Source organism: Homo sapiens, chromosome 1, assembly GCF_000001405.40.
Source record: "Homo sapiens chromosome 1, GRCh38.p14 Primary Assembly".
NCBI classification, from domain to species: domain Eukaryota; kingdom Metazoa; phylum Chordata; class Mammalia; order Primates; family Hominidae; genus Homo; species Homo sapiens.
Window position 1 is genome coordinate 185,568,512 of NC_000001.11, and position 24,004 is coordinate 185,592,515.

General features: G+C 39.8%; 2 long non-coding RNA genes across 2 annotated transcripts in view, besides 1 other annotated feature; one reads left to right on the plus strand and one right to left on the minus strand.

The window, feature by feature from the left end:
* LOC107985239 (uncharacterized) overlaps positions 1–24,004 on the plus strand; it is a 202,893-nt gene that overhangs the window by 90,499 nt on the left and 88,390 nt on the right. The window lies entirely within an intron of this gene.
* Positions 1–24,004, minus strand: part of LINC01350 (long intergenic non-protein coding RNA 1350) — a 70,110-nt gene that overhangs the window by 10,133 nt on the left and 35,973 nt on the right. The window lies entirely within an intron of this gene.
* Positions 16,980–18,179: an enhancer, noted in NCBI's record as "CDK7 strongly-dependent group 2 enhancer chr1:185554623-185555822 (GRCh37/hg19 assembly coordinates)". NCBI's record gives its function as "activates an origin of replication core promoter dependent on BRD2, BRD4, P300/CBP, MED14 and CDK7 cofactors, with strong dependence on CDK7, by STARR-seq in HCT116 cells {active_cell/tissue: HCT116}" and the evidence as "EXISTENCE:reporter gene assay evidence [ECO:0000049][PMID:35650434]".

Genomic DNA, 24,004 nt, shown 5'->3' on the forward strand with positions numbered 1-24,004 from the left:
TCATAAACTATTAGGGTAATTATTTATGTAAGCAGAAAAATTGATTTTGTACTTCTCCCTTCCTTTTTCTTTAATATGTACACATAACTGCAGCATATGACATAGTAAAATTTTCACATTTGTTTCTTTACAATTTACCACAAAGGAAATGTCGTTTGGGCAACTTATGATGTGCAAAGATAGAGCCAACTCACTACTGCCTGTTGCCTCACACTTAAGTATCATTTATTTCTAAAGATCATGAAATGCTTATTTCATCCTAATGCCTCTTTCACATTATTCCATCAGTATTTTAATATAGAATAACAAAAGCAAAACAGAATTAATATATTTTAAGGGCAAGACGACTGACCTCAGGATGACTGATTCTCTTTTATGAGAATGCTGTAAGAAAGTAAGTGGGAAATGAATCAGAGGAGGAGAACAAGACATCACAGAATGTCCTCAGATCCCTGTGGCATTTTAGTCTGTACAAAAAAGACCTAACCCAGTGCTTCACATCTAGGTGTTTAATTTTTCCCCTTCCATTACCTCCCAGACCTTGCAATCATAATTTTCAGATTTTTTACTTTCTGTCTCTTAAAGCTTCCATTTTCTAATTAGTCAGTCTAAAAGCATGAGAATGACCAAAATGGTGAAAAGTCTGGAAATCATATTATATGAAAAGGGGAGCATGCATTTGAAGAACTGCCACATAGAAAAGGAATTTCACTTTTTCCGTGTGACTTTCATAGAACCAACTATGACCAGTGGGCAGTAGGTATATCATAGTAGATATTCAAGTCCTCAGAGTTGCTAAAAATAGACTCAGCTGCTTTAAGACATAGAAAACTAGCCATTTTTTGAGGGGGCCTTTTAGGATTTTCACTGCATCAACTATCTCCAATGGCACGTTCCCTTAGGCTGGACATTCTCATGTCTCTTCCTTTAATCCAAGCTCTTCTCCTAATCTCCTTACTACCTAAGTGTGAAATAGGCACCAAGTCCTATGGATTTGATCCCCTTACTGTCTCTTGAGCCTGTCCTCTTCCTTCCATCCTACTGCCACTCCATCATAGTTCCTGTCTCCTTGAAATGTGAGCTTCCTGAGGGCATGAGTTGTCTTATTTTTTATACCTAGTTAGCTAGCACGATAGCTGGTTACTCAGTAAATACATACTGAATATGTGACTTTCAACAATTTACTTTGAAATCATTTGGTTTGAGTGGCAGCCTGGTCTATTCATTCAATAAACATTTTTTGAGCATCTACTACGTGCAGTGGAGGATATCTGGATGAATAAGACAAAGTGATTTCCCCCTCAAGCTCATAGTCTAGTTGGAAGAAAAATATGTAAACGAAAATGGATTTGGCTCAGGCAATGTTATGAAAATAAATAAATACCTGATCGACTTAATTGAAGTTACAGCCTATCAGATTTCTACCATTTGGCAGGAGTTCTGCAGCCAGATCCACCAGGTGTTCTTTGAGAGGCCAAGGAGAGGGCTGGGTATCATAGGGCTAAAGGGATTGCCTTCTGGAGATGTGAGAGGACGTCCATACGTGAATGAGTGAGCCAGGCAAGATCACGAGGAAAAGCCACAGTTCTGGTTCTTACTACCAGCCTTTCCTTGCTAGGGACCATCTTTCCTTAGTTTAGAGTTTCTCATGGTTTTATTTTTCTCCTCGGGCCTCATCTCTTTCCACATCAAACTCTGTTTCATATTGGTTTGCTGTCAAACTGGTTTCTTCTTAAATTTGCAGTGCATATGTAGTTTCAGAGCTTTTGATTTTTCAGTCTCCAGTTGTTTAAAGTTCAGACTTTCTGCTTGGCTTCACAAATATAGTTAGCTATTATATGATTACTTAGTTACTTATTTTCCTATTTCCAATTTTATGAATCCAGGCAAATGCATGAAATGTTAGAGATGAGAGGCTCCTCCAATGTTATATTTTCTGTTAACCAGTTCATTGAATGCCTATTCCCTCCCTGCACCAAATGTTCCAGTCAAAGTGTTCTCTGCAGCTTCAGTGAGGGTGGTTTTATGGACCACCTTGGATTTAAGAAGGGGGAAAATACATTCTTGGCTGAGTATGGCATGTAAGACTTTTCTCTCATTACCGTAATGCTCTTCTCCCTCTAGTTATTTCTGGTTTCCAACTAATAAATGTCCCTGAGCTATAGTCCTCCTGCAACAAAATGTGATTTTATTATTCTAACTTTTTCAGCCTCCTCCTACATAAGCAGGCTTTGTATGACTATTTTAATAGAGGAAGAACATTGGGGAATTGATCTAGTGTATATGTGCATGAGCACAGAAGAATCATGGGAGAGAGATCAAGATGAAGGAATAAGAGATGTACATGAAATAAAACTTGGTCTTCTATACTTGTGACCACAAGTTTTATTTTCCTTTATTTTTGGCCTCAAATTTCCTTCCATTTAATCTCTAATTGTTCTGACATTCAGAACACCAGACATTGAAGTGAGCTTTGTCTCATGAACCTTGACTCCCGGCTCTGAGGTCTGAGTGTCTGACTCCACGTACACAGCAGGCAACCTGTGACACGCCTAAGCCACGTGATGCTATCACATCGCATCACAGTCAAGTGAAAAACAGGTAAAGCCTAAAGTCTGTCAGTGGAATAAAAAAATAGCCTCAGGTCACTTTCCAAAAGCATTTGACTTAAGAGGGGAAAAAAAGGCTGTATTCTGATTTTATAATCTAGCCAGTTATTCATTCACCAGAAATGTGTTCTTTTCCAGTGATGCAAGGCTTGCTTACTTTATCAAGTTATTCCATTACTGCCTTGGAATGACTGGAGGTGGGATGGAGTACTATGGAAAACAAAGCAAAAAAACATGTTTTCAAACTCTCTTCAACTCATTTAAACGTTCCATTTAGTCGAACAGGCATTTGTTTGGATATTCCTTTCCAAGTCTTGAGATCATTTAAGTGCCTATACTCTTTGGAAATTCTCCTCCATCTTTTCCTTTTCATTTAGAATTAAGTTAAATTCTACTGTCATTTATTGTTCACCCTCTGCATACCAAACTTGGCATCTCTGCTGATTTTCTGTTTCCGTAGGAATGAAACTGCCCTTGAGAAAATATCACCTTCAAACCTTATGTTCATGGAAGGCTTAGATCCCATACTTACTTAGACCTCTTGGGCTCAAGATCACATAGATTTTTTTTTTCCTCAGTAAGTAGTTCATTCTAGAGGTGGATAATATAGAATTGCATGTTTTAAATGATGAAATATGACCAACTCCAGACTTACTAAGAAAAAATTTTGACATGGATAATCTCAAACTCAAACTGTATAATGAAAATTATGCAGAACATTGAAGTCAGACATGAACTAATCATCTTTCTAAACTTATCCAACGCTTTCTGCTAACTCCTGATTATGTGGGAGTTGCTGATCTGTTTTTCAGATTCTCCGGGAGTCTCCTAAGGTCATGTTCTGTCCTCATGTTCATATTTCTGGGCTTAAACAGAAGCTCAGGTTCCAGGCTTCTAGAACTTCCAAAGGGAGTAGGAAAAAATCCTCTGAGACCCTTGAATCACAAGACCGTGGTGAAAGCCAGCTCTACCCTGGGTCAGATTAAGTGGCAGCTAAACTGCCTGACTTTGTAAATCTTCCTGAAATCACTAGTTTAACTTGGTCTGAAAATCCCTTCTAGCGTACTCTACATGCACACGATTGTCTCTAGAATACCATTGTTAAAACATTGAGGCAGGGCCGGGACGGCTCATCTTTATGTGGTCTACACAGAGCACCTGGCTCAGGCCTTGTATGTGTTTGTCAAATGGATGGATATTTCTTGTAGAAGAGAGGTCCTGACTTAGTTTGCCTAATTAGCTAATTAATATGAAAAGACATCACAACCAGAGAGAGTGAGGCTTGAGGAAAACATTCATGATAGGCAGATGGTAATGAAATGGAAGGAATTGTGCTGTACATTTGAATACGAGTGCTAAGAACCCCACTAGAAATACCAAATCAGGATCTTTGGAGAGTTGGGCCCAAGAATATGCATTTTCTTCAAACTCCACAGGAAATTTTGAAACACAGCTATGGCTGGAAATTATTCCAATAAAAGAAAGTTTTCTTGAGTTTAGTGCTTTCTGGATAAGTGGGAAGACAGTAGGTACTTATGAAATGCCTTCTTGATTGGATGAATAAATAAATCAGGGTCCAGGTAGAAGCTGAGTCCTTAATTACAGTTATGTCCCTGCTGCCCTCATTCTATCCAGGCCCAAACCTCTTTAGCAGCACTACCTATTCCTCAGCTATAATCTGGAGGATAAAGGGGAACCTGGGAAGAGCAATGAGAAGACAAATAAAAGCTGATGATTAAAAATAGAATCTCAGGATGCTTTGGGTTACATCTGGTCTCCCCATGCTCCCCCAAAAAAGAGGCAGATTGGCATCCCATCTCCTCCAGCCAGCTTACAGCATATGCATGATCAAAAGTAATTTATGGCTCCTTTTCAGGCTCAGCTCTGAAGCAGAGAAGCTGACATTAAAATGGTGCATGTAACAGAAATGTGGCCTTGGAGAACCCCCAGAGGAGTTCCAGATCAGATCAGCTGTCTTTCATTAATCAGAAATGGGCTGTAGTTCACTCCTCTATTTGGAACATGTCTAGCCTTCCATCAAAATGGCAGAATGGTGAGTTCATGGATAAGGGTTTAGCATGAAACTTGGTACACACTTGTTATTGCAATCTCAGACTGTAAAATGAAACGTCTTAAAGGCCCGATCAACCTCATCATTTGCAGTACCACATTTAGCATAGCTTTGTGAATTTTCTTTTATTCTTGATTGCTCCCCTCCTTCTCCCAATGCAAATGAGTGCCTGGTGCTCAGTGAGTTGTGTCCTTATGCATTTAGCTGAAATCTCCAATTATAGTCAGGAGTGGGACAGTCTTCAAGAAAAAAAGAAAACACTGGCAGAGGGGAAAACTTGACAATCATGCCATTGAGCTAAGCACCGTGGTAAGTACTCTGCAGCATAGAAATCCATTGAGATAGCCACTATTATCTCCATTTTGTAGATGAAGAAAGTGAGGTTCCAAGATGCCAAGAGATTTTCCTAAATGTATGTGTGCAATAATATAGAGTCATAGAAGGTAAAGAGGTGGAGGGGAAGGAAGGCAAAGTGGGAGGAAGTCAGCCAAAGAAGCTAGTGGAGTAGTGTTCTGGGCAGAAGAAATACTTTAGAGGGAGAGAGCATGTGGGGAACTGAAATGTTGAAATTCAGGGAGAAGAGTAACAGGAGATGGGCTTCCAGACGGAAGGAGGCATTGAGAGGAAGGTGCCTCCCAAGGATCCTTGAGAGATATGTTAATGAGACTGGACTGCATTCTAGGGAAGTTATATGGTTTGGAGTGGGGAAATGACATAGCAAGATTTGTGTTTCACAAGGATTACATCGAATGCAGCATAGAGAATAGAGGCAACATGGAGGAAAGGTGACCACTGGTTGTGGTAGCCTTGACAAATGGCAAAGCCTGGTATGGTACAGTAGTAGTGCAGAACAGAGATACACATAGGAAGTAGAATAACACAGGGTTTAGTGACAGACTCTGTGTGGGAGATAAGAGGACATGATAAGTCGTAACTGATGATGAGCATGGATCCTCAAGGAAAGACATAGTGGGAGAATGAAATGTTGGGGTTTTCTGGAGCTTGGAACCAGTTCTTACTCTGGTTCTGTATTCTAACTTTTCTAGACTAAAAACTCCAGAAGGGTAGAAATCTTGCAGTCTAATTTCTCCCTACTCATTTTGTATGTGAAAGAACCCACAGAACAGTTGAGTTTGAAGGTCAGCTCTGTAATTTATTAACTTTGATACAGTATGAGGAAGATACTTAATGTCTATTCAGGGCCCACTACATTTTGGGCTCTAGGAAGACAACAGTGATCGAGAATGAAAAATCTTTACCTTTACGAAACTCTAGTTCGGAAGAGAGACAATAAGGAAATACAGAAACACCGGATAATTACAAACTGTGATAAATGCCATGAAAGAAATAAAAAAAAGGATGATGAGATAGAGCTAAAGAATGGTAATTAGTCAGCCAGTAAGAAGCTGGGGGAAGAACATTCCAGGCAAGTGCAAAGCCTGCAAGTGTGAAAGGGTGTGGTGGGCCAAGTAACAGGAACCCCAGGCTGTGAAGAGATTAAGTTTTATTCTAAGAGCAAGAGAAGCCATTCATGCATTTTAAGCAAAGGAAACAACAGATCCAGATTTACATTTTCATAATATCATTCTAGCTGTTGAATGGAGATCATGAATTAGAGAGAAAGTGACAAGAGAGAGACTAGCTAGGAGACTATTGCAGTTGTCCAAGAAAAATAAAAGTGTCTTAAATAATAATAGTTAATGCATAGAAACTTTTTTTTTTTTTTTTGAGATGGAACTTCGCTTTGTCACCTAGGCTGGAGTGCAGTGGTGTGATCTCGGCTCACTGCAACCCCCACCTCCTGGGTTCAAGTGATTCTCCTGCCTCAGCCTCCCAAGTAGCTGGGACTACAGGTGCCTGCTATCCTGCCCGGCTGATTTTTGTATTTTTCTAGAGACAGGGTTTTGCCATGTTGGCCAGGCTGGTCTTGAACTCCTGACCTCAGGTGATCCACCCGCCTCGGCCTCCCGAAGTCTTGGGATTACAGCCGTAAACCACCACGCCCAGCCTTATAGAAACTCTTTATAGACTTGTAAGCAAATTTTCATGGATTGTTTATTTGAGGCAAGTTTTGGACAAAAAACACTACAAATGTATTACTCAATTTACAGTTTTCCATCATGATATTTTTAAATTTTTCATAATATAGAAATATTGAAATAATCATAGTATTAGACCATGTACCTATCACCAAGATTCTGCAATCAACCTTTTACTATTCTTGCTTTGCCACAAATGTATCCCTCTACTTATCTCTCTATCAATCCACCTTATTTTTTAATGAATTTCAAAGTAAATGCAGGCATCAATACAGTTCACTTCTAAACACTTCAACATGAGTACAATTTACTAGGGATCCATGTTTTTTATGATTTCTCTTTTTTTCTTCTGTCATCAAACATACATATTGTGTTTTTTTTTCTTTTTTAATTATTATTATACTTTAAGTTTTAGGGTACATGTGCATAATGTGCAGGTTAGTTACATATGTATACATGTGCCATGCTGGTGTGCCGCACCCATTAACTCGTCATTTAGCATTAGGTATATCTCCTAATGCTATCCCTCCCCCCTCCCCCCACCCCACAACAGTCCCCAGAGTGTGATGTTCCCCTTCCTGTGTCCATGTGTTCTCATTGTTCAATTCCCATCTATGAGTGAGAACATGCGGTGTTTGGTTTTTTGTCCTTGCGATAGTTTACTGAGAATGATGATTGTAAATGCACAGATTTACATATACCATTCAGTGAGTTTGACAAATACACACACTCAAGTATGATCCAGGCTGTTTTACTCCTCTCCTTTGTGAACTCCAGTGACACTTTGTGAGAATTTTTCATATTGTCCCACAGGTCCCTAAGGCTCTGTCATTTTGTTGAATCTTTTTTCTCTCTGTTCTTCAGTTTGGATAATCTATTAATCTACCTTCAAATTTACATTCTTCTATCATCTCCAATCTGCTGTTAATCTCACCAAGGGATATATATATTTTTTTAATTTCAGTTTTGTGTTTTAGCTCTAGAATTTATTTTTGTTCTTTGTTATAGTTTATGTTACTCTGTCAAATTTTCCTGGTCTTTTATTTATAATAAAGATATTTTCCTTTGCTATATTGTGCATAGTTATAATAGTGACTTTAAAATCCTTGTCTGCTAATTTTAACATCTGGATCTGTAGTCTCTGTTGATTGCCTTTTCTTTCAAATATGGTTCACATTTTTCTGTTTCTTTGTACCCATGTGTATCCATCGTTTAGCTTCCACTTATAAGTAAGAACATGTGGTATCTGATTTTCTGTTTGAGTTATTTCACTTAGGATAATGGCCTCCAGCTCCAACTGTGTTGCTGCAAAAAACCATTTTATTCTTTTCTATGGCTGAGTAGTATTCCATGACATATATGTATCACATTTTCTTTTTTTTTTCTTCAACTTTTAAGTTCTGGGGTACATGTGCAGGATGTGCAGGTTTGTTACACAGGTAAACATGTGCCATGTGGTTTGCTGCACAAATAAACCCATTACCTAGGTATTAAGCCCAGCATCCATTAGCTATTCTTGCTGATGTTCTCCCTCCCCCTGCACCCCCACCAACAGGCCCCAGTGTGTGTTGTTCACCACCATGTGTCCATGTGTTCTCATCATTCAGCTCCCACTTATAAGTAAGAACATTCAGTGTTTCATTTTCTGTTCCTGTGTTAGTTTGCTAAGGATAGCAGCTTCCAGCTCCATCCATGTCCCTGCAAAGAACATGATTTTATTCCTTCTGATGGCTGCATCATATCCCATGGTGTATGTACTACATTTTCTTTATCCAATCTATCATTGATGGGCATTTGGGTTGACTCCATGTCTTTGCTATTGTGAATAGTGCTGCAATGAACATATGCATGCATGTGTCTTTATAGTAGAATGATTTATATTCCTTTGGGTATATACCCAGTAATGAGATTGCTGGGTCAAACAGTATTGTTGCCTCTAGGTCTTTGAGGAATTGCCACACTGTCTTCCACAATGATTAACCTAATTTACACTCCCACCAACAGTGTAAAAGCATTCCTTTTTCTCCACAACCTCACCAGCATCTGTTGTTTCTTGACTTTTTAATAATCGCCATTCTGACTGGTGTGAGATGGTATCTCATTGCATTTTTGATTTGCATTTATCTAATAATCAGTGATGTTGAGCTTTTTTCATGCATTTCTTGGCCACATGAATTTATTCTTTTGAGAATTGTCTGTTCATGTCCTTTGCCCACTTTTTAATGGGGTTGTTCATTTGTTTCTTGTAAATTTGTTTAAGTTCCTTGTAGACTCTGGATATCAGACCTTTGTCAGATAGATAGATTGCAAAAATTTTCTCCCATTCTGTAGGTGGTCTGTTCACTCTGATGATAGTTTCTTTTGCTGTGCAGAAGCTCTTTTGTTTAATTAGATCTCGTTTGTCAATTTTTGCTTTTGTTGCAATTGCTTTGGGCATTTTTGTCATGCAGTCTTTGCCCATGCCTATGTCCTGAATGGAATTGCCTAGATTTTCTTCTGGGATTTTATACTTTTGGGTTTTAGATATAAGTCTTTAATCTGTCTTTAGTTATGTTGCAGGAAGTCAGGGACCCTGAACGGAGGGACCGGCTGGAGCCGCGGCAGAGGAACATAAATTGTGAAGATTTCATTTTAAAATGGACATATATCAGTTCCCAAATAATACTTTTATAATTTCTTACACCTGTCTTTATTTCAATCTCTGAACATAAATTGTGAAGATTTCATGGACATTTACCAGTTCTCAAATAATACTTTCATAATTTCTTATGCCTGTCTTTACTTCAATCTCTGAACATAAATTGTGAAGATTTCATTTTAATATGGACATTTATCAATTCCAAAATTAATACTTTTATAAGTTCTTATGCCTGTCTTTAATCTCTTATTCCTGTTATCTTCATAAACTGAGAATGTACATCACCTCAGGACCACTCTTGTGTTAAATGTACAAATTGATTGTAAAACATGTGTATTTGAACAATATGAAATCAGTGCACCTTGAAAAAGAACAGAATAACAGTGCTTTTCAGGGAACAAGGGAAGACAACCATAAGGTCTGACTGCCTGTGGGGTGAGGCAGAATAGAGCCATGTTTTTCTTCTTGCAGAAAGCGTATAAATGATGTGCAAGTAGGGAAGATATTGCTACATTCTTTTCCTAGCAAGGAATATTAATAATTAAGACCCTGGGAAAGGAATGCATTCCTCAGGGGAGGTCTATAAATAGCTGCTCTGGGAGTGTCTGTCTTATGCGGTTGAGATAAGGACTGAAATACGCCCTAGTCTTCTGCAGTACCCTCAGGCTTATTAGGGTGGGGAAAATACCCCACCCTAGTAAATTTGAGGTCAGACCAGCTCTCTACTCTCAAACCCTGTTTTCTGTTGTTTAAGTTGTTTATCAAGATGATATGTGCACAGCTGAACATAGACCCTTATCAGCAGTTCTGGATTTGCCCTTGTCCTGTTTCCTCAGAAGCATGTGATCTTTGTTCTCCTTTTTGCCCTTTGAAGCATGTGATCTTGTGACCTACTCCTTGTTCTTGCACCCCCTCCCCTTTTGAAATCCTTAATAAAACTTGCTGGCTTTAAGGTCAGGTGGGCATCATGGTCCTACTGATATGTGATGTTACCCCTGGAGGCCCAGCTGTAAAATTCCTCTCTTTGTATTCTTTCTCTTTATTTCTCAGCTGGCCAACACTTAAGGAAAATAGAAAGAACCTATGATGAAATATTGGGGGTGGGTTCCCCCGATAGAGTTAATCTTTGTATAAAATGTAAGGAAGGGGTCTAGTTTTAATTTTCTGTATGTGGCTAGCCAGCTCTCCTAGCACCATTTATTAAATAGGGAATCCTTTCCTCATCGCTTGTTTTTGTCAGATTTGTCAAAGATCATATGGTTGTAGGTGTGCAGTCTTATTTCTGAGTTCTCTATTCTGTTCCATTGGTCTATGTGTCTGTTTTTGTACCAGCACCTTCTGTTTTGGTTACTGAAGCCTTATAGTACAGTTTGAAGTCAGGTGGATGATGCCTTCAGCTTTGTTCTTTTTGCTTAGGATTTTCTTGGCTATTCAGGCTTTTTTTGGTTTCAGATGAATTTTAAAATAGTTTTCTCTAATTCTGTGAAGGACATCAATGGCAGTTTAATGGGAATATTATTGAATCTATTAATTACTTTGGGCAGTGTGGCCATTTTCATGATATTGATTCTTCCTATCCATGAGCATGGAATGTTTTTCCATTTGTTTGTGTCCTCTCTGATTTCCTTGAACAGTGGTTTGTAGTTCTCCTTGAAGAGGTTCTTCACTTCCCTTGTTAGTTGTATTCCTAGGCATTTTATTGTCTTTGTAGCAATTGTGAATGGGAATTCATTCATGATTTGGCTCTCTGCTTGCCTGTTGTTGGTGGATAGGAACACTAGCAATTTTTGCACATTGATTTTGTATCCTGAGACTTTGCTGAAGTTGCTTATCAGCTTAAGAGGCTTTTGGGCTGAGATTATGGGGTTTTCTAGATATAGGATCATGTCATCTGCAAACAAAGGTAATTTGACTTCCTATCTTCCTATTTGAATACCCTTTATTTCTTTCTCTTGTATTATTGTCCTGGCCAGAACTTCCAATACTATGTTGAATAGGAGTAGTTGAAAGAGGGCATCCTTGTCTTGTGCCAGGCTTCAAGAGGACTGATTCCAGATTTTGCCTATTCAGTATGATATTGGCTGTGGGTTTGTCATACATGGCTTTTATTATTTTCAGGTATGTTCCTTCAATACCTAGTTTATTGAGAATTTTTAACAAGAAAGGAAGTTGAAGTTTATCGAAGGCTTTTCTGTGTCTGTTGAGATAATCATGTGGTTTTTGTCTTTAGTTATATTTATGTGATGAATCACATTTATTAATTTGTGTATGTTGAACCGACCTTACATCCTGGGGATGAAGCCAACTTGATTGTAGTGGATAAGCTTTTCAATGTGCTGCTGGATTTGGTTTGCCAGTATTTTATTGAGGATTTTTGCATTGATGTTCATCAGGGATATTGGTCTGAAGTGTTTTTGTCATTGTTGTATCTCTGCCAGGTTTTGGTATCAGGATGATGCTTTTCTCATAGAATGAGGTAGGGAGGAGTCCCTCCTTTTCAATTGTTTGGAATAGTTTCTGTACAAATGGTAGCAACTCTTCTTTGCACCTCTGGTAGAATTCAACTGTAAATCCATCTGGTCCTGAGCTTTTCTTGGTTGGTAAGCTATTTATTACTGCTTCAATTTTAGAACTTGTTATCGGTCCATTCAGGAATTCAGTTTCTCCCTGGTTAAGGCTTGGGAGGGTGTATGCATCCAGGAATTTATACATTTCTTCTAAATTTTCTAGTTTATGTGCATAGAAGTGTTTATAGTATTCTCTAATTGTTGTTTTTATTTTTGTGGGGTCAGTGGTGATATCCCCCTTATCATTTCTGATTGTGTCATTTGATTCTTCTCTTTTCTTCTTTATTAGTCTAGCTAGCAATTTATCTATTTTATTAATTTTTTTTCAAAAAAACAGTTCCTGGATTCATTGATTTTTGAAGGACTTTTGGTCTCTGTCTCCTACACTTCTGCTCTGACCTTGGTTATTCCTTGTCTTCTGCTAGCTTTGGAGTTTGTGCTTGGTTCTCTAGTTCTTTTGGTTGTAATGTTAGTTTGTTGATTTGAGATCTTTCTAGCTTTTCGATGTGGGCATTTGGTGCTATAAATTTCCCTCTTAACACTGCTTTAGCTGTATCCTACAGATTCTGGTACATTGTCTCTTTGTTCTTATTAGTTTCAAATAACCTCTTTTTTTTTCATCATGTTATTCATCATGATGGATGAATAACATACTCAGACACTGATATTCAGTGAAAGAGCAGCTAGGGAGCCTGGCCGTGCACAGAAAGATTTGTGGCAGCCATGTGCCCTGACTAGCTGGCCCTGTGGGCATTTATTCAGCACAGATTTAATGACAAAGGCTTTGAGTCAACACACTTGTGGGTAATTAATCTGGTCGCCCTCCCCCAGAGAGAGCAGTCATGCACCTGTGGAAGATCAAAGGTCAGTCTTAGGACCACATAAGTAAACAAGCTATTTAGATAAACTCCCCACATTCCCTTGTTATTTGCTCTTCTGCTATCAGCTCAAGGTAAAGAGGATTAGGCTGCCTTCAGCCATATCTTTTACTGAAGCTATGCAAACCTCCCGGCCTTCTAAGAAGGTTTGTGTCTATTTCCTATAACTTCATAATTTTTCCCACCACCTTGACTTGACTGATCCCCTACATCTCCCTCTTTTCTGTATTTTTTTTTTTTTTTTGCATCAGGCTTGGTTGTTTGAAGAGTACAGTTGTGTGCAGCAACAGGTCTGTTAGGCGAGGTGGTCATTGCTCTTATTCGGGCTTTGCATTCTAGAATTAGCAAATAACATAAGACAAACATGAGTATAATTAGCAACATTCTTTTCCAACCAAGGAGTGACCCCCAGGAGTCAGGGTCTATCCAGGAGAGATGTTTTTGCATATCTTTTCACATGGTTGTTACTGAGGAACCCCACTGGGGGTATATTAATTCCTCTTAGCCAAGCAGTCATGTTGTTAGAAGCTGGGAAGGGGGTGTTCGCCTAAGTAACTGGGCTGAGAAAAGATGGATTTAGAAGATGGGCTTAATAGAGTGTTGTAGGTACAGGTAGCAGGCAAAGTGAGAGAATAAAAATGTTAATAAAGTATAGAAAGGAACAAATTATCTGCAGTGAATGGTGTTTGTGTCTGGAGCAGGATTCGCTCAGTCTGAGTTGTCTTCTTCAGGATTCTGTCTGGGGCTTGTGCCACCCAAGGAAGCTGCATCATCTGGAGCTCTAGGTCCTGCAGGGACATTTTCTTTATTTTTGGTACTGGGTTGGGTCCTAGCCACACTATGGTAAAGTTTGATGTGTCATGCTGGAATCCAAAGAGGATGTGAGGGGGTGTGAACACAAGCATATCCTCTTTCCCACATTAGCAATTCTTTTGGATCACACCATGCATGACTGTTTACATCTTTCCATAAAACTGAGGGTTTTATGTCTTGAGAGGTTTTAGCAAAGTGCTTTTCTATAGATGATTGAAAGTTATCATCTAAATTTAAAAAATTAAGGGTAAATAAGGCTTGTGCTAATAGTGTTGCAGGGTCCTTACTCATACTCCCCATTTTTTGTTTTTTGAGCATATTTTTAAGGGTGGAGTGGGTACATTCTACTATGGCCTGCCTTTGGGGGTTATACGGGATGCCTGTGGAATGTTGGACATTCCACATGTGACAAAATTGTTGAAATTGTGAGCTGGCATAAGCTGGACTATTATTAGCTTTAATTTTTGTGGGCCACCCCATAAATGCAAAAGTGAAAAGAATATGTTTAATGACATATGGGTGGACTCTCCAGGAAGGGCATATACACTAATTAAGTGAGAATTGGTATCAACGGATACATGTACGTATCTAATTTTCCAAATTCAGGGATGTGTGTAACATCTGTTTGCCATAACTGATTAGGTTCTAGTCCTCTAGGGCTAACATCTGTAGAAGGAGGGGATGTGCCTGTGAGCTGGCAATTTGGGCATTGCAGGATAATTTATTTAGCTAGTCTCTGGTAAGTGGAAATTGTTCAGATAAGTTTCTCCAATTTTGGTGGAAGAATTGATGTGATTGGGTGGCTTGGTCAAGCAGTGATGTCATAACCTGAAGATCTGCTTGATCATTGCCATAAGCTAATGGGCCAGACAGTGAGCTGAGGGGTTGAATATGTGTGATAAAAATAGGATGTGAACATTGATCTAGCAATTGCTGAAGCTGGAGAAAAAGAGCACACAGGGTGGGCTCCAGAGTGGACTTAATTAGTGCTGTTTCAAGGTTTTGGAATAAATAAACAGAGTAAGCAGAGTCACTCACAATATTGATGCACTGAGTGGAAAAAGTCTCCAAAGCTAATATTAATTAAGGGTCCACCTTAGCTCTTTGAGTGCTAGTAAACCCAGATCGAGTGAGGGAATTATGTGGTCTCCACCAGACAGCTGCTTTTCCATGTTTACCTGAACCATTAGTAAACAGCATTAAAGCATTAGGTATGGGGTAGTGAACTATTTTTGTAGGTAAAATCACAGGAGTACGAGACAAGAACTGAAGGAGTTTATCAGCAGGAAGGGTATTCTCTATTTGGCCTGTGTAATCAGAGATGTCTATTTGCAAGTCCATCAATAAGGGCAATACTGCTTTGAATTGCTTCTTACTTAAAGGAATCCTGATGATATCAGGATCATAACCTAGCAACTGATTGCATTGTCTGTGGCCTGAATAGATTACTTTACTGATTAACTGGATGTAGGGAGAAAGTGTTTTAGTTCCAGTATGTGAGCAAAAAAACCCATTTTAGAAAGCGCAGTCCTGGAGTCATCTGTCCTATTAACCCTGTAGGAGAGTGTTTAGTGGGAAAAATTAACAATTGAATTGAATACCATGGATCAATGCAATCTAGTTGCCTTTGAGAGATAGCTTGTTCTGTTTTTTCAATTTCCCTTTTTGCTGCAGGGGTTAAATACCTGGGAGAATCCAGGGCTGTATTGCCCTTTAAGATAGAAAACAGGTTTTGCAACTTATCTGTAGACATGTCCAAGGTGGGGTGAAGCCAGTTAATATCGCCTAGCAATTTCTGATAATCATTTAAGGTGTATAAGTTGCTAGTATTTAATTTAAACTTTTGAGGTCTTACTGACCAGGAAGTTAGTATGTATCCAAGAAATTTCCAAGGAGAAGACATCTGTACTTTTTCAGGTGCTATGATTAAACATCTTAACTGTGTATTTTTTACGACAGAGGTATATAGACTTAAAAACATTTGCTCTGTTGGGGCTGGTAGTAAAATATCATCTATAAAATGAATAACCTTGCAATCAGGAAATTCTTTTCTACTGGGGAGCAAAGCTTGATTTACTTGATACCTGCACATGGTAGGACTATTCAGCGTTCCTTGAGGAAGCACTTGCTAATGAAATTGGCAAGCTGGCGTTTCATTATTGATAGCTGGTATTGTAAACACAAATTTTTCTCTGTCCTGCTTTGCAAGTGAAATAGTATAAAAGCAGTCTTTTAAATTAATAACAATTATAGGCCAATCTTGAGGAATTGCTGTGGAGGAGGGAAGGCCCTGTTGAAGGGGCCCCATAGGTTGTAAATTAGCATTAATAGCATGTAAGTCATGCAAAAGTCTCCATATACCAGACTTTTTGGGAATGATGAAAATGGGCAAATTCCAAGGGCTGTTTGATGATTCTATATGACCTGTTTTTAATTGCTCCTCAACTAATTCTTGGCCTCCTTGTAATTTCTCCCCCTTTAAAGGTTACTGTTCTACTTAAATTGGATTTTGAGAGAGCCACGTTAGGGGTAGGAGATACATAACAGTGGCCATTATTAGAAAGAGGTCTTTTAAATTCTTAAGTTTTACTTATATTTTAGCAGAGAATTATAATCTGGGATGTTGCTTGTATACAAGGAACACATGAATTTTGCTGTGGGATGCCCACAGAGCCAAAGAGCAGTGGCATGGATCCCGGGGCAGTGGCCACATTGCATTTTCCTAGGCACCGCTTTTTGTCTGTGCCACTTTTTGTCTGTGCTGCTCCCTTCCCCCACCGCTGTGTGGCTGCTGCCGGCCGGGAGGACCCTGTCGGCCCGGGGCACCACAAGCTTCCCGGCTGCTGAGCCTTTACTTCCACCCATTGCCCACTTAGCCATGCAGCTCCAGCCTCTAATGCCTTTTCTTATCTTTTTATAAACGTTAAAAGAAATGTGTTTTTATACCTGATTGCCTTGTTGATCTTGCATTACTGGACAGGCTAAGAGCTCCCCTTCTAATGTTGCTTGCCTAAGATGGGGTCCCATAGCTGTAGCATATCCCTTGTCTTTTTTCCTATCAATTAGAGGAGGAGGCTCAGCCAAGACCTCCATTTCCTCTTTGTTATTTTGGCCCCAGTGATAGTGGGGCTGAGGGACAAAGAGGTGGTAAGGTAAGTGACAGTTCCTCCTCCTTCCCCATTTTAGGCTCTTCTGTGTATAATGAGACCACAGCCACTCTGACTAAAGCCTGTAGCATTAAAGCTGTTACTGGGACCTGTTACCCTTGCACATGGTGTTGTTTAAGATTTCTCCCCACTTGTTCCCAGAGCTCTACATCTAGTGTACCTTTTTCCAGGAACCATGGGTTATGGAATACAACAGTTCGCATTACGTCCCTTAATTGAGCCTGAGAAACCGAGACTCCACTAGCTTTTAAGAAGCTCTTTCAATACTTTTATATACTGTTTCTGTTGAGCTGATAACTGTTGTCCCATGGTGAAACCCTAGCCTGAACAATGCCCCCACAACTTGGAAATCCCAAGCGGGCACCAATGACTTACTGACTCACTGACTGTGCCGTCCTTTTCACCCCTATTTTTGAGGGTTCCATTATGATCCTTTGTAGTTTTCCTCACATGGGGCACCACCTGCCAGGGTCTGACCCGCAGACGTAGGCTGCACGATGGAAGAATAACATACTCAGACACTGATATTCAGTGAAAGAGCGGCTGGGGGCTGGGCTGTACACAGAAAAAAGTTGTAGCAGCCGTGTGCCCCAACTAGCTGGCCCTGTGGGCATTTGTTCAGCACAGATTTGATGACAAAGACTTTGAGTCAACACACCTGTGGATAATTAATCTGGTCGCCCTCCCCCGGAGAGAGCAGTCATGCACCCGTGGAAGATCAAAGGTCAGTCTTAGAACCATATAAGTAAACAAGCTATTTAGGTAAGCTCCCCCACATTCCTTTGTTATTTGCTCTTCTGCTATCAACTCAAGATAAAGAGGATTAGGCTGCCTTCAGCCAAATCTTTTACTGAAGCTATGCAAACCTCCTGGCCTTCCAAGAAGGTTTGTGTCTATTTCTTATAACTTTATAATTTTTCCCACCACCTTGACTGATCCCCTACACAGAAACAGGAGGACAGATGTGAAAACTGGAAGAAATTACAATTTCTCCAAGACATGGAGAGATTAGGTATGAGGGAGTGATGGAAAGGGGAGAATATAAGTGCTTTCTAGGTTTGGGGTTTGAGCAGTGGAATAAATGGTGATAAAATGTGTTGATGAAAGAGAATCTGTTCCAAGATGGCTGAATAGAAACAGCTCCAGTCTGCAGCTCCCAGCGTGATCGATGCAGAGGATGGGTGATTTCTGCATTTCCAACTGAGGTACCTGGTTCATCTCATTGGGACTGGTTGGACAGTGAGTGGAGCCCACAGAGGGTGAGCCAAAGCAGAGTGGGGCATCGCCTCACCTGGGAAGCACAAGGGGTCAGGGGATTTTCCTTTCCTGGCGAAGGGAAGCCGTGACAGACTGTACCTGGAAAATCGGTATACTCTGGCTCAAATACTGTGCTTTTCCCACAGTCTTAGCAACGAGCAGACTAGGAGATTCTCTCCCATGCCAGACTTGGCAAGTCCCACACCCACAGAGTCTTGCTCACTGCTAGCACAGCAGTCTGAGATCAATCTACGAGGGTGCAGCCCTGCAAGGGGCGTCCACCATTGCTGAGGCTTGAGTAGGTAAACAAAGTGGCTGGGAAGCTTGAACTGGGTGGAACCCACCGCAGCTCAGCAAGGCCTACTGCCTCTATAGACTCCACCTCTGTGGGCAGGGCATAGCTGAATGAAAGGCAGCAGACAACTTCTGCAGACTTAAATGTCCCTGTCTGACAGCTCTGAAGAGAGCAGTGGTTCTCCCAGCATGGTTTGACCTCTGATAATGGACAGACTGCCTCCTCAAGTGGGTCCCTGACTCCCATGTAGCCTAACTGGGAGACACCTCTCAGTAGGAGCCAAAAGACACCTCATACAGGCAGGTGCCCCTCTGGGATGAAGCTTCCAGAGGAAGGATCAGGCAGCAATATTTGCTGTTCTGTAATATTGCTGTTCTGCAGCCTCTGCTGGTGATACCCAGGACAACAGGGTCTGGAGTGGACCTCCAGCAAACTCCAACAGACCTGCAGCTGAGGTTCCTGACTGTTAGAAGGAAAACTAACAAACAGAAAGGAATAGCATCAACACCAACAAAAAGGACATCCACACGAAAACCCCATCTGTAGGTCACCAACATCAAAGACCAAAGGTAGATAAAACCACAAAGATGGGTAAAAACCAGAGCAAAAAAGGTGAAAATTCTAAAAACCAGAGTACCTCTTCTCCTACAAAGGATTGCAGCTCCTCGCCAGCAAAGGAACAAAGCTGGATGGAGAATGACTTTGACGAGTTGACAGAAGTAGGCCTCCGAAGGTTGGTAATAACAAACTTCTCTGAGCTAAAGGAGCACGTTCTAACCCATTGAAGCTAAAAACCTTGAAAAATGGTTAGATGAATGGCTAACCAGAATAAATGTGTATAGAAGACCTTAAATGACCTGACGGAGTTGAAAACCATGGCACGAGAACTTCATGAGGCACACGCAAGCTTCAATAGCCAATTTGATCAAGTGAAAGAAAGGATATCAGTAATTGAAGATCAAATTAATGAAATAAAGCAAGAAGACAAGATTAGAGAAAAAAGAGTAAAAAAGAATGAACAAAGCCTCCAAGAAATATGGGACTATGAGAAAAGACCAAATCTACGTTTGATTGGTGTACCTGAAAGTGACGGGGAGAATGGAACCAAGTTGAAAAACACTCTTTAGGATATTATCCAGGAGAACTTCCCCAACCTAGCAAGGCAGGCCAACATTGAAATTCAGGAAATAGAGAGAGCACCACAAAGGGACTCCTCGAGAAGAGCAACCCCAAGACACATAATTGTCAGATTCACCAAGGTTGAAATGAAGGAAAAAATGTTAAGGGCAGTCAGAAAGAAAGGTTGGGTTACCCACACAGGGAAGCCCATCAGACTAATGGCGGATCTCTCAGCAGAAACCCTACATGGCAGAAGAGATTGGGAACCTATATTCAACATTCTTAAAGAAAAGAATTTTCAACCCAGAATTTCATATCCAGCCAAACTAAGCTTCATAAGTGAAGGAGAAATAAAATCCTTTACAGACAAGCAAATGTTGAGAGATTTTGTCACCACCAGGCCTGCCTTACAAGAGATCCTGAAGGAAGCACTAAACATGGAAAGCAACAACTGGTACCAACCACTGCAAAAACATACCAAATTGTAAAGACCATTGATGCTAGGAAGAAACTGCATCAATTATGGGCAAAATAACCAGCTAACATCATAATGACAGGATCAAATTCACACATAACAATATTAACCTTAAATGTAAATGGGCTAAATGCTCCAATTAAAAGACACAGACTGGCAAATTGGATAAAGAGTCAAGAACCATCAGTGTGCTGTATTCAGGAGACCCATCTCATGTGCAGAGACACACATAGGCTCAAAATAAAGGGATGGAGGAAGATCTCCCAAGCAAATGGAAGGCAAAAAAAAGCAGGGGTTGCAATCCTAGTATCTGATAAAACAGACTTTAATCCAACAAAGATCAAAAGAAACAAAGAAGGCCATTACATAATGGTAAAGGGATCAAGTCAACGAGAAGAGCTAACTATCCTAAATATATATGCAACCAATACACGAGCACCCAGATTCATAAAACAAGTCTTTAGAGACCTACAAAGAGACTTAGACTCCCGCACAATAATAATGGGACACTTTAACATCCCACTGTCAGTATTAGATCAATGAGAGAGTTAACAAGGATATCCAGGACTTGAACTCAGCTCTGCACCAAGTGGACCTAATAGACATCTAGAGAACACTCCACCCCAAATCAACAAAATATACATTCTTATCAGCACCACATCGCACTTATTCTAAAATTGACCACATAGTTGGAAGTGAAGCACTCCTCGGCAAAAGTAAAAGAAGAGAAATCACCACAAACTATCTCTCAGAACACAGTGCAATCAAATTAGAACTCAGGGTTAAGAAACTCACTGAAAAGCGCACAACTACATAGAAACTGAACAACCTACTCCTGAATGATTACTGGGTAAATAACGAAATGAAGGCAGAAATAAAGATGTTCTTTGAAACCAATGAGAACAAAGACACAATGTACGAGAATCTCTGGGACACATTTAAAGCCGTGGGTAAAGGGAAATTTACAGCACTAAATGCCCACAAGAGAAAGCAGGAAAGATCTAAAATCTACACCGTAACGTCACAATTAAAAGAACTAGAGAAGCAAGAGCAAACGAATTCAAAAGCTAGCAGAAAGCAAGAAATAACTAAGATCAGAGCAGAACTGAATGAGATAGAGACACGAAAAACCCTTCACAAAAATCAATGAATCCAGGAGCTGGTTTTTTGAAAAGATCAACAAAATCGATAGACCTCCAGCAAGACTAATAAAGAACAAAAGAGAGAAGAATCAAATAGATGCAATAAAAAATGATAAAGGGGATATCACCACCAATCCCACAGAAATACAAACTACAATCAGAGAATATTATAAACACCTCTATGCAAATAAACTAGAAAATCTAGAAGAAATGGATAAATTCCTGGAGACATACATCCTCCGGAGACTAAACCAGGAAGAAGTTGAATCTCTGAATAGACCAATAACAGGTTCTGAAATTGAGGCAATAATTAATAGCCTACCAACCAAAAAAAGTCCAGAACCAGATGGATTCACAACCGAATTCTACCAGAGGTACAAAGAGGAGCTGGTACCATTCTTTCTGAAACTATTCCAATCAATAGAAAAAGAGAGAATCCTCCCTAACTCATTTTATGAGGCCAGCATAATCCTGATACCAAAGCCAGGCAGAGACACAACAAAAAAAGAGAATTTTAGACCAATATCCCTAATGAACATCAATGGGAAAATCCTCAATAAAATACTGGCAAACCAAATCCAGCAGTACATCAAAAAGCTTATCCATTACGATCAAGTCAGCTTCATCCCTGGGATGCAAGGCTGGTTCAACACATGCAAATCAATAAACGTAATCCATCACATAAATAGAACCAATGACAAAAACCACATGATAATAGGTGCAGAAAAGGCCTTCGACAAAATTCTACAGCCCTTCATGCTAAAAACTCCCAATAAACTAGGTATACATGGAACATATCTCAAAATAATAAGAGCTATTTATGACAGACCCACAGCCAATATCATACTGAATGAGCAACAACTGGAAGCATTCCCTTTGAAAACTCGTACAAGACAAGGATGCCCTCTCTCACCACTCCTATTCAACATAGTGTTGGAAGTTCTGGCCAGGGCAATCAGGTGAGAGAAAGAAATAAAGCATATTCAATTAGGAAAAGAGGTAGTCAAATTGTCCCTGTTTGCAGATGACATGATTGTATATTTAGAAAACCCCATCATCTCAGCCCAAAATCTCCTTAAGCTGATAAGCAACTTCAGCAAAGTCTCAGGATAAAAAATAAATGTGTAAAAATCACAAGCATTCCTATATACCAATAACAGACAAACAGAGTGCCAAATCATGAGTGAACTCCCATTCACAATTGCTTCAAAGAGAATAAAATATCTAGGAATCCAATTACAAGGGATGTGAAGGACCTCTTCAAGGAGAACTACAAACCACTGCTCAATGAAGTGAAAGAGGACACAAACAAATGGAAGAACATTCCATGCTCATGGATAGGAGGAATCAATATCATAAAAATGGCCATACTGCCCAAGGTAATTTATAGATTCAATGCCATCCCCATCAAACTACCAATGACTTTCTTCACAGAATTGGAAAAAAATACTTTAAAGTTCATATGGAACCAAAAAAGTGCCCGCATAGCCAAGACCATCCTAAGGCAAAAGAACAAAGCTGGAGGCATCACGCTACCTGACTTGGCTACAGTAGCTAAAACAGCATGGTGCTGGTACCAAAACAGCGATATAGACAATGGAACAGAACAGAGGCCTCAGAAATAACACCACACATCTACAACCATGTGATCTTTGACAAACTTGACAGAAATAAGAAATGGGAAAGGGATTCCATATTTAATAAATGGTGCTGGGAAAACTGGCTAGCCATATGTAGAAAGCTGAAACTGGATTCCTTCTTTACGCCTTATACAAAAATTAATTCAAGATGGATTAAAGACTTAAATGTTAGACCTAAAACCATAAAAACCCTAGAAGAAAACCTAGGCAATACCATTCAGGACATAGGCATGGGCAAAGACTTCATAACTAAAACACCAAAAGCAAGGGCAACAAAAGCCAAAATAGACAAATTGGATCTAAGTAAACTAAAGAGCTTCTGCACAGCAAAAGAAACTACCATCAGAGTGAACAGGCAACCTACAGAATGGGAGAAAATTTTTGCACTCTGCCTGTCTGACAAAGGACTAACATCCAGAATCTACAAAGAACTTAAGAACTTAAATTTAAAAGACAAAACCGCATCAAAAAGTGGGCAAAGATATGAACAGATACTTCTTAAAAGAAGACATTTATGCAGCCAACAGAAACATGAAAAAATGCTCATCATCACTGGTCATCAGAGAAATGCAAAACCACAATGAGATACCATCTCATACCAGTTAGAATGGAGATCATTAAAAAGTCAGAAACAACAGATGCTGGAGAGGATGTGGAGAAATAGGAACACTTTTACACTGTTGGTGGGAGTGTAAACTAGTTCAACCATTGTGGGAGACAGTGTGGCGATTTCTCAAGGATCTAGAACTAGAAATACCATTTGACCCAGTGATCCCATTACTGAGTTTATACCCAAAGGATTATAAATCATGCTACTATAAAGACACATGAACACGTATGATTATTGCAGCACTATTCACAATAGCAAAGACTTGGAACCAACCCAAATATCCATCAATGATAGACTGGATTAAGAAAATGTGGCACATATATACCATCGAATACTATGCAGCCATAAAAAAGGATTAGTTCATGTCCTTTGCAGGGACATGGATGAAGCTGGAAACCATCATTCTCAGCAAACTATCACAAGGACAGAAAACTGAACACCACATGTTCACACTCATATGTGGGAATTGAACAATAGAACCCTTGGACACAGGGTGGGAAACATCAGTAGGGGACTGGGGGAAGGATAGTATTAGGAGAAGTACCTGATGTAAATGACGAGTTGATGGGTGCAGCAAACCAACATGGCACATGTACACATATGTAACAAACCTGCACATTGTACACATGTACCCTAGAACTTAAAGTATAATAAAAAAAATTTTTTAAATGTGTTGATGAAAAC